Below are 13352 nucleotides of genomic sequence, written 5' to 3' on the forward strand. Positions count from 1 at the left end.
CACCACCCAATTCTGCCCAAGAGTGTACCAGGACCGATGTCACCAAGCTCTCCATTTGCTTCAGTCACTACACAAGCTCCCTGACTCCCAGGAAGCCTTCGTTCCTGTAGGGCTCTGTATACCCCATTATCTAGTGGTGCTCAACCTTGCTTGCATATTGGAACCACTAAGTAAACTTTCAAAAATACTGATATCCTTGAAGTCCCCCTCCCTGCCAGATCATAAGGAAATTGATTCTGGAGCGCAGGCTCACAACTGGGAGTTTTCATTTTCCTGGTGATCCTAATGTTGTGCAGCCGTGGTTGAGACCTGCTGCCCTCATCTGACCCCATGTCTGACCCCTCAACTGCCACAACCCATCAAAACCCTCTATACCAGGGATTCTCAAACTTACTATCATCAAGTCTTTCAACAGGACTTGTTAAAACATGGATCGCTGGGCCCCACGCCCAGAGTTTCTGATTCGGTAGGTCTAGAGACCCCCAAGGATGCGCATTTCTGAGAAGTTCCCAAGTGGTGCTGATGGTGCTGCTGTTCCAAGGGCCACACTCAGATAATCGTTTTCAATATCCTGCTCATTTGGTTCCTTGACCTTCTCTCCCCCAATAAACTTGTCCTCTATCCCACCTCAGTCACAGACTCTGATATTCATCCCGAAATCTTGTCATTACCAGTAATTATACCCCTTCCTAATAACCAACTTAAACATCCTGCTCTCCAACTGCCAATTTACTCCTGGTAGTGACCCAATTCCAACTCCAATGGGAAGGACTGCACCCTATTGACCCTGCCTGCCTTTCATGTCCCCCACCCCATCTCACCTAACTTCTTTCCTAATGTAGCTTAGATTATCTTCTAGTAATTGTCTCCCTGAATCTCACCATCAGAGCTTCCCTTTCTGCTGGAAGCTCTGATGCACACAAACGTGCAAAAATATTTACCATCTATTTTAAAAGCCTTCCATTTCCCCCTGTAGCTACCTCTCCATTTCTCTGTTCCCCTTTAGGTCACCCCCTCTCCTTTCATTCTCAGGTGAACCCTCACTAGTCAGATTTTTCCCTATCCTTCCTGTGAAATGGCTTTTGTCCAGGTCACTAGTGACCTCCCTATTGCCAAATCCAACAGCCAGTCCTCAGTGCATATCATACTCAATCTGTCACTCCCGTCTTCTAGAAACACTTTCCTCACTCCGCTTCTAGGACACACCCTCTGTTGGTTCTCCTTCTTCCTCACTGCTTGTTCCTCTTGCTGGTTCCTCCTCCTTTCAGTGATGCTAAACTTTGGAGTACCCTTGACTTAGTCCTCAGATTTCCCTTCTCCTTTATCCGCACTACCTTCCCAGGTGATCCCTCCAGGGCTTCATACCAGCTCCATGGTGACTCCCAAATTTATATCTCTAGCCTAGACCTCTCCCCTGAACTACAAATTCACCAACTCCACTGCTTACTGGACATCTCCAATTGGATGTCTAACAGGCAGCTCAAATGTTAAGTCCAAAACTGAACTCCTTATTCTAACTGCACAGGATCAAATGATTATGTCCTTTATCTCTACCCTGCCCGTCAATAGCCACTCCAGTCTTCCAGTTGGATCAGGCCAAAACATTGAAGTTATCCTGGACTCTGGTCTCCCACACCATTCATACTGCCTATCAGCAAATCCTGTTGGTTCCCAAATCTGACAGCTTCTCTCCATCTCTACCACATGACCCTGGACCAAGCCACTACTACTATCTCTCACCTAGACAATTTCAACAGAGTCCTTAGGTTTTCCTGCTTCTACCCTTGTTCCGGCCCTTTTAATACATAAATCAAATTCTGTGACTCCTCTGGCTTGCCATTCGTTCAAAGTAAGATCCAAACCTCTCTACAGGCATGAGAGACCTACCCTCTCTGGCCTCCCTGCCCTCTGGGCTCACAGGCTACACACGCTGCCCTTGGGTCTCCACCTTAGCCTTTTAGTTCCTTAATTAACAGCTTAGAGCCTTTGCTCTTGCAGTTCCCTTGGGCTGGAAGTCTCTTTTCTCAGACGCTCCTTCCTATGTCTAAATTCTGCCTGTATCTGGAGACTTCCCTAACACACCCCCGCTGCCACCCGCATCTCACATACTCCCCACCTGGCACTCTCTGGCTCCTTGTCTTGCTCTCTTTTTCTGGGTGGACTTGTGTCTGAAATATGTATTGATTTGCTGATTGTCTGTCTCACCCACTGGAATGTAAGCGCTGCAAGGAGAACTTTGTTCTGTTCACTGCTGTTTCCCCAATGAGCGTGTATGATAGGTGCTCAATGAGTACTTGTTGAATTAATTAATTAATGGAAGCGTGTTTAGACCTTTCCTCCCCAGCGGCTGCAGCTCTGTACAAGGAGGTGTCCCAGGCTGCCTGTCTCCATTCTCTAATAGCCTCCTGGCCACCACCTGGGCATCCCCCTCCCCAGAGCCTGCCAGACCATTCTAATTGCCGCTGCTGCTGAGGGAGGGAGTCTCTAAAGAGAGAGGAGGGAGGGAGGAGCTCCATCTGGTGTCCAGGAAAATAAGGGAGCCAGCTTTGGTCTGCGGCTCCAGGTCCACCCTGGAGTCCACAACGTGGGGCTCGGGAGCCAGGGGCGAAGCACCCTTCGGGCATAGACGGGCCCTTGGCTCTTCTGTCCTGTCAGAGAGTGGGCCTGGGGGCCCCATAGAGGCCCCTCGATTTGGCCAACTGAGCGGGACCCAGCACAAGGCCTCCAGGCTGCAGAAGGCTGTGGGGGTGGGGGTGGGGGTGGGGGTATCGGGAGACAATAGGAGAGCCCAGAGCCAGCTCTCCCTTTCCACCAGCCCGAGTGACACAGTGACACAAAGGGAGAGTCTTGTGCTTGGGGGAGGGGGTGGGGAGAGCCCTTTGTCCCGCTATTTTCTACATTGCTGGGGGTGGGGAGTGGGAAGGGTGTGGGGGGGTGACCAGCGGCTGTCAGTATGGGGAGGAGTAGAGAGTGGTGCAGAGGCCCTGGAAAGTTTTTGAATTTCAATCAGGTTGGCTTTGAAAGAGTTTGGCTTTTGTTGAAAGAAAGAGAAAGGTTAATGCTAGAGTTGAGGGGGAGGGGGTGGATTCTGCAGATAGAGTCCTGTTTGCAGGCCGGTCAGCTGTGGGACACCCAGGCTGGCAGAAAGGCTGGGGATGGGTGAGCAGAGGAGGAGCAGGCGTCCCATTTCCCTTCCCGGGCCCAGGTGGAGGAAGGCTGGGCAGAGAAGCATGGGGTTATTGGGTGTGGGCAGAACTGGTCAAGAAAGGAAAGCAATGCGGCCAAGCAGGACAATTTCTTTCTTCCTTTTGCATGCCTTACAGAGCCTTTGACTTTTTAAGCCAGGAAAGAATGAAGTTCCCTCCCTCTCTCCCCTCCGTTTCTACTCCACCCAAGCACAGCGGCGGCGGCAGAGCACTTGTCAGGGCTGACTTTGTGACAAGTGCAGGCTTGGTTGGTGCAGGAGAGGGGGGCTGGGTGGCTTGGGACCTCTTAGTGCTCAGGAATCAGCTGTTTTCTCCGCTCTTACCCTCTGCTGACCCTCCTCTGCACTCTAATTGCTCCAAAAAGAAGCATAAAAATGTGGAGCTATTATACTCTTTGAAATAGGCAGCATACTGCTTTCTCAATGTTGGGAGAAAAAGAAGGAGGAGGAAGGGAGCTACAGCCACGCAGCAGGCTAGAGATCTGCAATTCCAAGTTGGGGAGTGGGCACCTGGCATTCCCCAGCTGACTTCACACCACTGAAACACACACACACACACACACACACACACACACACACACACACACACACTTTGTAAGGCTCCTGGCTGCAGTATGATCCTTTGTCTCTCTCTCTCTCTCTCTCTCTCACACACACACACACACACACACACCATACACGCTCACACACACACATACACTTTATGAGGCTCCTGGCTAAGGCTGCCGCATGATCCAGTGTTCTGGGAGTCCCAGTGTATTCTGGGAGTCTACTGGGGCAGTCAGTTCTCTAAATGGCACCACTGTGTGTTCTCAGCTCTAGGGGTTCTACAACCATAAAGATAACTCCAGAACCAATCCCTGAATTCCAGCCTGAAAATATTTGAGAGGAGAAAGATCAGAGGAAGAGGGAAAGAGAATATAAAAATGGGATTATTCTTATTTTGACATGTAATAACCATCTGCATGGTATTAGGCCTCATCTTCCTGGAGCAAATATTCATGCACTAAATAATTTGCTCAGCATTCCTTGTGTTAGACATTGTGCCAGGCCCTAGGAGACACAGAGGAAATAAGAGCTGTCCCTGCCCTGAAGGAGCTTATTCTTAAACAGAAAAGCAAATGGAGAATAAATAATTCTAATCCAATGAGATAATATCACACATGCCACACAATACATTGTAACATACATCACATTTAACTTCATTTGACAAGCGAATACTACAGAAAAACGTGTGAATTATTATTATTATTATTATTAAATTATTATTTTAGAGACAGAGTGCTAACTCAGTCGCCCAGGCTGGTGTGCAGTGATGAGATCGTAACTCACTGCAGCCTTGACTTCCTGTGCTCAAGCGATCCTCCTGCTTCAGCCTCTCCAGTAGCTGGGACTATAGAAGCACGTTGTCATGCCTGACTAATTTTTTCTATTTTTATTTTTGGAGAGATGGGGTCTTGCTGTGTTGCCCAGGCTGCATTTTTTAAGATTTCATTGATATTTTTTACTTTAATGTTGGGTGCATTTGAAGTGTTTACCAAGGGCCAGGCGCAGTGGCTCACACCTATAATCCCAGCACTTTTGGAGGCCTAGATGGGCAGATCATTTGAGGTCAGAAGTTCGAGACCAGTCTGGCCAACATGGTGAAACCCCGTCTCTGCTGAAAATACAAAAATTAGCTGGGTATGGTGGCACATGCCTGTAATCCCAGCTATTTGGGAGGCTGAGGCAGGAGAATCACTTGAACCTGGAAGGCAGAGGTTGCAGTGAACCGAGATTGCGCTACTGCACTCCAGCCTGGGTGACAGAGCCAGATGCTGTCTCAAAAAAAAAAAAAAAAAAAAAAGAAGCGTTTACCAAGGAAAGCATTTTGGAGGTGAAAACGTGTCCCACCAAGCAAAAAGAGGATTGGACTCCAAATGCAGGCCAAGGGAAGAAAGAGGAGAATGTCCATGTGTGCATACATTAGTGTGCTGGGAAGACCTCCATGCCCACACTGCCCTCATCCAATACCACATTAAAAGTATTTTGCTGGTTTACTTGTCCATCTGATTTGCAGCCACATATAATCTCAGACACCCCCTGTTCCGCCCTCTGCCACATCACCTCCCACAGGAGAGAAACAGCTATCCCAGGCCATTCTGTTCCCCTTTCAAGGCCAGATCTGAGGTGAAGAGAAGGCATTGAGAAAGTTAACCCAAGGAAGAATTTTAGGCTAGTGTTTTCAAAGCTTGGACCAACAGCATCAGCATCACCTGGGAATTTAGAAATGCAAATCCTCAGGCGCCACCCTAGGCCTACTGAACTGAAAGCTCTGGGTGTGGGGCCCAGCCATCCGTGGGTTGTTTTTTGTTTTTTTTTTAGACAGAGTCTGCTGTTGGCCAGGCTGGGGTGCAGTGGCACAGTCTCGGCTCACTACAACCTCCACGTCTTGGGTTCAAGCGATTCTCCTGATTCAGCCTCCTGAGTAGCTGGGACTACAGGTGCGTGCCACCATGCCCAGCTAATTGTTTTTATTTTTAGTAGAGATGGGTTTCACTGTGTTAGCCAGGATGGTCTCGATCTCCTGACCTTGTGATCCACCTGCCTCAGCCTCCCAAAGTACTGGGATTACAGGCATGAGCCACCGTGCCCGGCCGCCATCCGTGTTTTAACAGGCTCTCAGATCATTCTGATGCTCCGTAAAGTTCTAGGTATGCTGATCAATGTTGCCACCCTTGGTTAGATCTTCCTGATGCACTTCAAAAATAACTTGCTCTGGTAGAAGCCAGGGGGCTAATGGGGGCCAATCCAGCCCAGCACCTAAGTCTTTTGGTTAGTTCTTGGGCTAATCTGCCCAAGGATGTGGATATGAATGGCTGGGACACGGACACTTTTAAGGACCCCGTTATCTGGGATGTCTGGGCCCTGACCCTTCTGAGCCTTGACTGGCCCCCTGTGCTCATATTCAGAGCATGGGACCTGGCAGAAGTTCGAGGGGCTGATCCAGTATGGCAGGTCCCTTTGAGAGTCCTCTTAGGGATCCGGGTTTGTGACAGCACATGACACGATTTGGCTCTCTGGAGCTTCTGGGTGGGCGGGTATAATGAAAGGATGGTTAGAATTGGAAAGAGCAGTGAGGGAGAGAGCAAAGTCCCCTCTTCCATATCTGATTTTGTAAGCAGCTTCTGATACCTCAGTGACAAGATCCCAGCACCTGTGTCTCATTGGCATCAGTATCTTTTTTGGCACAGACCGAGAATCTCTTTTTGGAAAATTCCCTTGCCAAAAGCACGTGACCATATCTGTCTTAAGAAGCTGGCACCTATCCTTTTTTTCAAATTTGTCTCTGGCCTCTCTTCCCTCTCCCAATGTTCCCTTTCACCTTGAGCTAGAAACATGTGGTATCCTCAGGGCCATTTCAGATTGATGCAACCACATCACTGGTTCTGACCTGTAAAAGTAAAGGCTAAGAATTCCTTTCAGAGGGGAAGAAAAACTATCATGAACTAGACATGAAATAGCCAAGCACTGTGCCCCTCGCTTTCCATGATGCTCCTCATTTATCGTTACAGCAACCCCATACACTATATGTTACTTCCCCCATTTTATAAGTAAGGAAGCTGGAGTTGGGAGAGTTTGTCCCTCGTGCAGCATCACACAGCTTCTAAGTGGCAGTCAGGATTTGAACCCAGATCTGCCTGACTTCAGAGCACGTGTTTGCTGCTCTTTACCACACTGTATCAGGAGAGATCCTCTAGGTCCTGGCTCCCTCCCAGGCAACCCCAAGGAAACAGGACTCTGGCCAAGTCCACGAGCTTTGTAGGTCCTGGCTGGATTCCCTCTTGGTTAGACTCTGGTCAGGCCTTCCCTGATTTCTCCTGGCCAGCTGGCCTCTCCGCCTCCTTGGCTCTACGTGGGCTCCTGAGGGAGAAGGCAGAGTGAAGCCACCAGGCCTCTGGACAGGTTGCAGTCAGCATCCGTTCCATCACGCGTTAACCCCTGCGGCTGGCCCGCAGCAGGGAAGCCCTCTTGCCTAGCTCTGCATGGACTGCTCGCTTGCCTGAGTTTGCATTATTTATTTAATGTCTTGTACCGTAAATAATGGTAACTTTATGGTTATTAGGAACGGGTTAAGGTACATGCGGGTAGCACCAGGCTGCCTTCAAAAGGAACAGTCCTGGCATAAAATGTTGCGATAATTGCTTCACTGCTGAGTGTTGGTCTTTATTTTGTGTCTGATTTGTCCCTTAAGCCAGCGTAACATTCTCCCCACGGCAGGAGAATGCAGAGAGCAAATTGAAGGGCTGAGCATGAACAATGCGACATGGCGCACTGCTGGGTTTTTCTTTTTTCCTCTTTCTTCGTTTCTCCCTTGACCTCCCTCCAATCCTCTCCGCTCCCCTCCCCCCATGCCCTGCCCCAGTCTCCGCCCTACTCTGGTTGGGAGAATCATTCTCCCCCATCCTTGACACCTCTAGAAGGTAGCCCATCATACCCCCTTATTTCCTTTTGTTGAAAATAAGGTTAATAGAGCACTCCTATTCCTTACCTCTTCTCTGGGCAGCAAACAAGACAAAACAAAAAGATAAACACATAAAAGATGCCTTCTTTTCATGGACCCGGTGCCCAAGCAATGCCCAGGCACTCTAGCCCAGAAGTTATTGTCCCTTACATTTCTTAAAAGGATGTGGAATCCTGGCCAGTGCCCAGCATCACAGTGGTCAGAGAGGGCTGGGTATGCAGAAGGACTTGGGAGGGTGGCAGGGTTGCTGGTGGCGGGTGTGGAGGGGTGAAGGGGGCAGAGTCTGCCAGCTCCTTCCTGATAGTGGGAGAGAGCGATGGTCTTCAGTGGCCAGTGGGACTCTTCCTCTTCTCTTCGGTCCATCACACCAAGGCAGGAAGGCCACTGGCACTGGCCGCCATGTGCCATACACATATTTCCCTTGTCTGCACAGGAGTGGAGTGAGGGCAGGGGTGGGGTGAGGGCCTCTCCACTCGGGGCAGCCTTTTGGTTTGCCAGAAGTGGATCCTCCTGGCCTTCATCTGTTTGCCCCTGGGGGTCATCTATCAGCCTCCAGCAATACCCTGCAGGCCGGATGGCCCAAGCCAAGTGAAACCTCTTCCCTGTAGCAGAAAGCAGGTCCAGCATCTCCCAAAACGGGCGCTCTGACTGGCTGGGCTTCTTCGATGTTCAGAGAGCTTGGCCAAAGCACGAACACTGGAGTAGGAGCCAGAAGTCCTGTGGTCTTGTCTGAGCTTCCCCACTGACTTGCCCGGTGTGGTAAATTCATAGACACAGAAGTTCCTTGGAAACGTTCTGCCTCGGTTTCATCTGTAAAATGAGGGCAAAAATCCCTGCCTTATGGGATTATTGGGGAGATCAAAAGTAGCTAATGAGTGACTACAGACTCCAGAACCAATCATAGATTGTTGATCACGGAGTCTCAAATAACCCATCATGCCCTCAGGCCAAAGGCCAATGACTATTTCTGGGTAAGTATGAGAAGCAGGTGGGACTGGAGGGGCAGCTGGGGTGGTACAATGACAAGGAGAAGAAGGAGGCAGAGATCCTCCAGCCCCATAGCTATCTTGGAGCAGAAAACCAGTGTTGCTGTCCTCCATGGGGCAGGCATCAGGGCAGACCACAGGCTGTAACCCACCTTAGAGGAATGCCTTCTTCTAGCGGCCGGATCTCTTCCCTCCCTCCAGCCAAAACCCCTTCTTCTGCTTTGGCCCTTTCTCTTGCCATTCCTCCTCTTCCTCTAGGGCTTCTCCTTGGCTACAATGGAGGGGACAACAAAGTCCAAGCAAGTTGATATCCAGTGGCTTTAAGCTACAGGAGGCTGAGAGGATTTGTGTGTCTCTCCACTTACTCCACCTCTCCAGAGCCTAGTAACTCATCAATAGCGGAAATTTGAACAAAGTGGAGAACCTGGGATGAAAGGAGAAATGCTGCGGTGATTGGGGGTGGGGTGAAGGGGGAAGAGGGGATGGCTTTAATTAGGGCTTCTTGGCCTCGTCAGTCCTGGGGTTGGTCGGGGTAATCCAGTTAGAGTCCCAGCCTTTCATCTCAGCTGGCCGGCCTCTCGGGGGCCCTGTCAGAGCCTTTAGGGGGCAACAAGTAGCGGGCAGGCTTGGAGTGGCGTGGGGGTTGATACCACACTTACTTCCAGCTGGACGCAGAGGGGGGTACGGAATGAAGCCCCGCCAGCACAGCAGTTGGTGGTGAGCAGTGAAGTGGCCGGTGTGGGCGGCTTGGGCGCTGGGCGGCTGTCTCCTGACACCAGAAACTCTCTTTATGAAAGGATCAAGTCGGTAGCATTGTTCTCTGGCCAGGGAACCAAGGGCTCAGAATGCTCTTTTGTGTGGAGGTGCCCCCCCCTCACCACACTCCCCCTTCTTTTTCTCCCTTTGAGCCACTGCTGGCTGTGCCTCTGCCCCCATGCTTGGGGCGGGAGGCGATGGAGTGGTGGAGATGGGCTCGGGACAGACAGTCCTGGGGGAGCCATCTGTGCTGGGGTAGGATCCACTGGAGCTGAAAAATTAAACAGCATTTTCAATTAACTTTTCCTCTCTTGTTTGGGGGTGGGCGTGTGGGGGTGGTGGAGCAGGCTGGTTGAATTTAACCTTTGAAAAGCTGTGTGGAGCAGAGGAGGAGGGAATGACCTTTCTTTCCCGAGGCAGGGTTGGGCGGGGGTGGGGAGCAGTGGAACTGTTTCCTCGGGCCAGGCGGGGGACCCCCTCCTGGTGAATATTCCAGAAGCTCTTGGTGTCCTTGGCCCCTGAGGTCCCATCTGTGTAGAGAGAGGGTTTGCTAGTGCATCTCCAGGGTGTTCGTTGTAAGGAGAGATGGGCGAGTCGTGTGGGGTCAGCAGGTGGATGAAGGCTTACTGCCGAGCAATGGAAATCTTTTTCACCTCTCCCTCAAAGGCTGCCCCTTTTCTCTACCCATCTTCCCTTCTGCTGCTCAGGAACGCCTGCATCTTAGTTTCCGCTCTTGGGCTGGGTGCCCCAAAAGATGGAAGAACATCCGTAGAAGGGACTCTGCTGTAGGTGGCGTTTGCTCTAAAGGCCTTTCTGTTCCTGTCTCATTGGCACCACAGAACGTAACACAACCAGAAGTCAGAGTCAGAGTCCAGTGTGTATCCTTCTCACATCTTGTTGCTGCATGCCCTGACCTTCTCCATTTTCCCTGAGAACTGGGAGCAGGTCTTCCTCACCCCTCTCTGATCTCTTTCTCACTCCACATAGTGACCAGAAGAGGGCTTTCACCTCTTCTTTAGACCCTCGTGGTGGAAAACTTCTGTCACCATAATGACTGTTTGTACCTGAAGAACACTCTGTAGTTTGCAAAGAACTCATGAGAGTCTTCTTTTAATCTGTGGGGACAGATGGAAAGGAGTAAGCCCTTTTTTATGATGAAGAAACTGGGACTCAAGAGAGATTAATTTTGAAAAATGGGGCATCCCCTGGAGGGCACAGCAGCATCACTTAGGGGTCTTTTTCAGTTGTCCATCCCACCCAGAGATTCCACGGTCCTCACTCCTCCTGCCCCTACCTTCACCCCAGAGTAGGGTTTCTTAATGAAATTATATCTTTTGCGTTTTCCTTTAGCTAAATACAGACAGTCCCATTTACGGGTGTGAAAAATCAGGAAGTCTACTCAAGTGAGCTGAGGCAAAAGAGGTAATAAAGCCAATGGTTTCATTTGGGTTTTCACCAGTCCTGGTGTTTATCCGAGCAACAAGGAGGATGGTATTAGAAAATAGGCATAGGCAGCCGGGTGTGGTGGCTCACGCCTGTAATCCCAGCACTTTGGGAGGCCCAGGAGGGCAGATCACGAGGTCAGGAGATCAAAACCATCCTGGCTAACACAGTGAAACCCCACCTCTACTAAAAATACAAAAAATTAGCCAGGCGTGGTGGTGGGCGCCTGTAGTCCCAGCTACTTGGAAGGCTGAGGCAGGAGAATGGCGTGAACCCAGGAGGCGGAGCTTGCAGTGAGCTGAGATCATGCCACTGCCCTCCAGCCTGGGCAACAGTGTGAGACTCTGTCTCAAAAAAAAAAAAAAAGAAATAAATAAATAAAAGAAAAGAAAAAGAAAATACGCATAGGCTGGGTGCAGTGGCTCACACCTGTAATCCAAGCACTTTGGGAGCCCAAAGCAGGCGGATCACTTGAGGCCAGGAGTTCAAGACCAGCCTGGCCAACATGGCAAAACGCCATCTCTACTGAAAATACAAAATTAGCCGGGTGTGGTGGCACACACCTGTCATCCCAGCTACTTTGGAGGCTAAGGCACGAGAATTGCTTGAACCCAGGAGGCAGAGGCTGCAGTGAGCCAAGATTGTGCCACTGTACTCCAGCCTGGGTGACAGAGCGAGACCCTGTCCAAAAAAAAAAAAAAAAAAAAAGGAAGGAAGGAAAGAAAGAAAAGGAAAAGAAAGAAAAGAAAATCAGCATAGAATGATTACAGGTTCAATGCCTGTTACCCCAACACTTTGGGAGGCCAAGGCGGGAGGATCGCTTGAGCCCAGGAGTTTGAGACCAGCCTGAGGTACATGGCGAGACTCTGTCTCTATTAAAAAATAAAACAATTAGCCAGGCATAGTGGTGTGCACCTGTAGTCCCAGCTACTCAGGAGGCTGAGGTGAGAGGATTGCTTGAGCCCAGGAGGTCAAGGCAGCAGTGAATAGAGATCACGCCACTGCACTCCAGCCTGGGTGACAGAGTGAGACCCTGAAAAAAAAAAAAGGAAAGAGAGAGAGAGAGAGGAGGGAGGGAGGGAGAAAAGAAGGAAGGAAGGGAGGGAGAGAGGGAGGGGAAGGAAGGAAGGATATGACATGAGCTGCTCCCTCAGCTACCCCAGGGCACAGTGGAGCAGCACCTTCCTCCCCAAACCTGTTCCTTGTCTTGTATTTCATGCTCAGTTAAGGACACTGCTCTCTAGCCTCAGCTTGGGGCACTCTCCTCTTCCTGGGCTAAGTTCAGCCAAACTGCTTTTCCTTCAGTTTGTCTAATACGCAGGCTTTGCTTTTCAGGACATTAACATCACCCTCCCTGACTCTTACCCCTCCTTCCTGTCTCAGTGAATTTTACTGCTCAAAGAAGCCTTTCTGTCCCAATGTACATTTTGTCTTCCGGTTACACTTTCTCATAGCATTCTGTCCTTCCGGGATGTAACGTATCATGGTTTCTAGTGGCACGATGAGGTGGGGCAGTAGTTACCATGTCTCCCCTACCAGTCGTTACGCACTGTGAGCACAGGTGTCCTGCTATTTTGTTCACTACTCTATTCCCAGTGCTTCTGGGAGGCACTAAGGGGCTTAATACGGTCAATGAATGAATGAAAGGAGAAAAGGGAAAGGTAGTAACTCACAGAGAAAATGAGCAAAATGAAAACCAAGATTTCCCAGAGGTAAAGGTGAGAAAGGGTTGTTGCTCCGAGGTCTAGGAAATTTCTTTAGGCCCCCAAAATGGAGGCCAGTTGGCCTGAATGGTGCAGAGAACACTCTCGCAGTGGGGGGATGACGGGGAGTGATGTTTGAGGACCTTTTGGTGAGGCAAGGAAGCATGCAGCCCACTTCAGCTTTCTCCTTATTTTTCAAAGGTGCCAGTCCATTTTTGGAGCCCTGAGGAAGAGAAGGCTAGAGGGAGAACACTAAAGACTACAGCCAATTCTGATAAAGAATAAGGGAAAAGAAAAGGCTTTGCCTGCTGGAATAGCTTTGGGTGAGGTCACCATAGTTTTCTACAAGATAAAGGGATTGGCTACAGGAGCCACCAGAAGAGAGATCCCCGGGCCTGCGGGCAAGAAGTTGAACCCTAGAGAGAAACTTTCACTAGCGAAGGGTTAAAGGGAATAAATATGTTTAGCAATATATTGAGGGTGAGGGGAAAGGAAAGGTGGGGGACAGACCAGTGAGCATGTAGACTGCTAATAAATGAAGAGAAGTGGGAGATTCATCTTACCTCCTACAGGGCAGAGATGCTCAGCTCATTTTTTAGATCAGTCTTTAAGAAGAAAAATGACAAAAAGGAATTTGGATAATTAGGAAGTAAATGCAGACTGTGCAAAAATCGTTCCTGATAGAAAGCAGGTAGGAGAATACTCAGAAAATGTAAAGGTTTCACAAATCAGCAAGCCAGGATGACATCCATCAT

At 49.8% G+C, this 13352-nt stretch overlaps 1 protein-coding gene across 15 annotated transcripts in view, besides 3 other annotated features; it reads left to right on the plus strand.

Moving 5' to 3' along the window:
* The window catches only part of RNF220 (ring finger protein 220), a 246942-nt gene that overhangs the window by 93522 nt on the left and 140068 nt on the right, over positions 1–13352 (plus strand). The gene's annotated exons all lie outside the window — the stretch shown is intronic.
* Positions 8195–8695: an enhancer, noted in NCBI's record as "H3K4me1 hESC enhancer chr1:44972171-44972671 (GRCh37/hg19 assembly coordinates)". NCBI's record gives its function as "activates a minimal SCP1, AML or CMV promoter by ChIP-STARR-seq in naive H9 embryonic stem cells {active_cell/tissue: H9 hESC(naive)}" and the evidence as "EXISTENCE:reporter gene assay evidence [ECO:0000049][PMID:30033119]".
* Positions 8856–9492: an enhancer, noted in NCBI's record as "H3K4me1 hESC enhancer chr1:44972832-44973468 (GRCh37/hg19 assembly coordinates)". NCBI's record gives its function as "activates a minimal SCP1, AML or CMV promoter by ChIP-STARR-seq in naive H9 embryonic stem cells {active_cell/tissue: H9 hESC(naive)}" and the evidence as "EXISTENCE:reporter gene assay evidence [ECO:0000049][PMID:30033119]".
* Positions 9493–10128: an enhancer, noted in NCBI's record as "H3K4me1 hESC enhancer chr1:44973469-44974104 (GRCh37/hg19 assembly coordinates)". NCBI's record gives its function as "activates a minimal SCP1, AML or CMV promoter by ChIP-STARR-seq in naive and primed H9 embryonic stem cells {active_cell/tissue: H9 hESC(naive and primed)}" and the evidence as "EXISTENCE:reporter gene assay evidence [ECO:0000049][PMID:30033119]".

This window comes from Homo sapiens, chromosome 1 (genome assembly GCF_000001405.40).
Source record: "Homo sapiens chromosome 1, GRCh38.p14 Primary Assembly".
Taxonomy (NCBI): domain Eukaryota; kingdom Metazoa; phylum Chordata; class Mammalia; order Primates; family Hominidae; genus Homo; species Homo sapiens.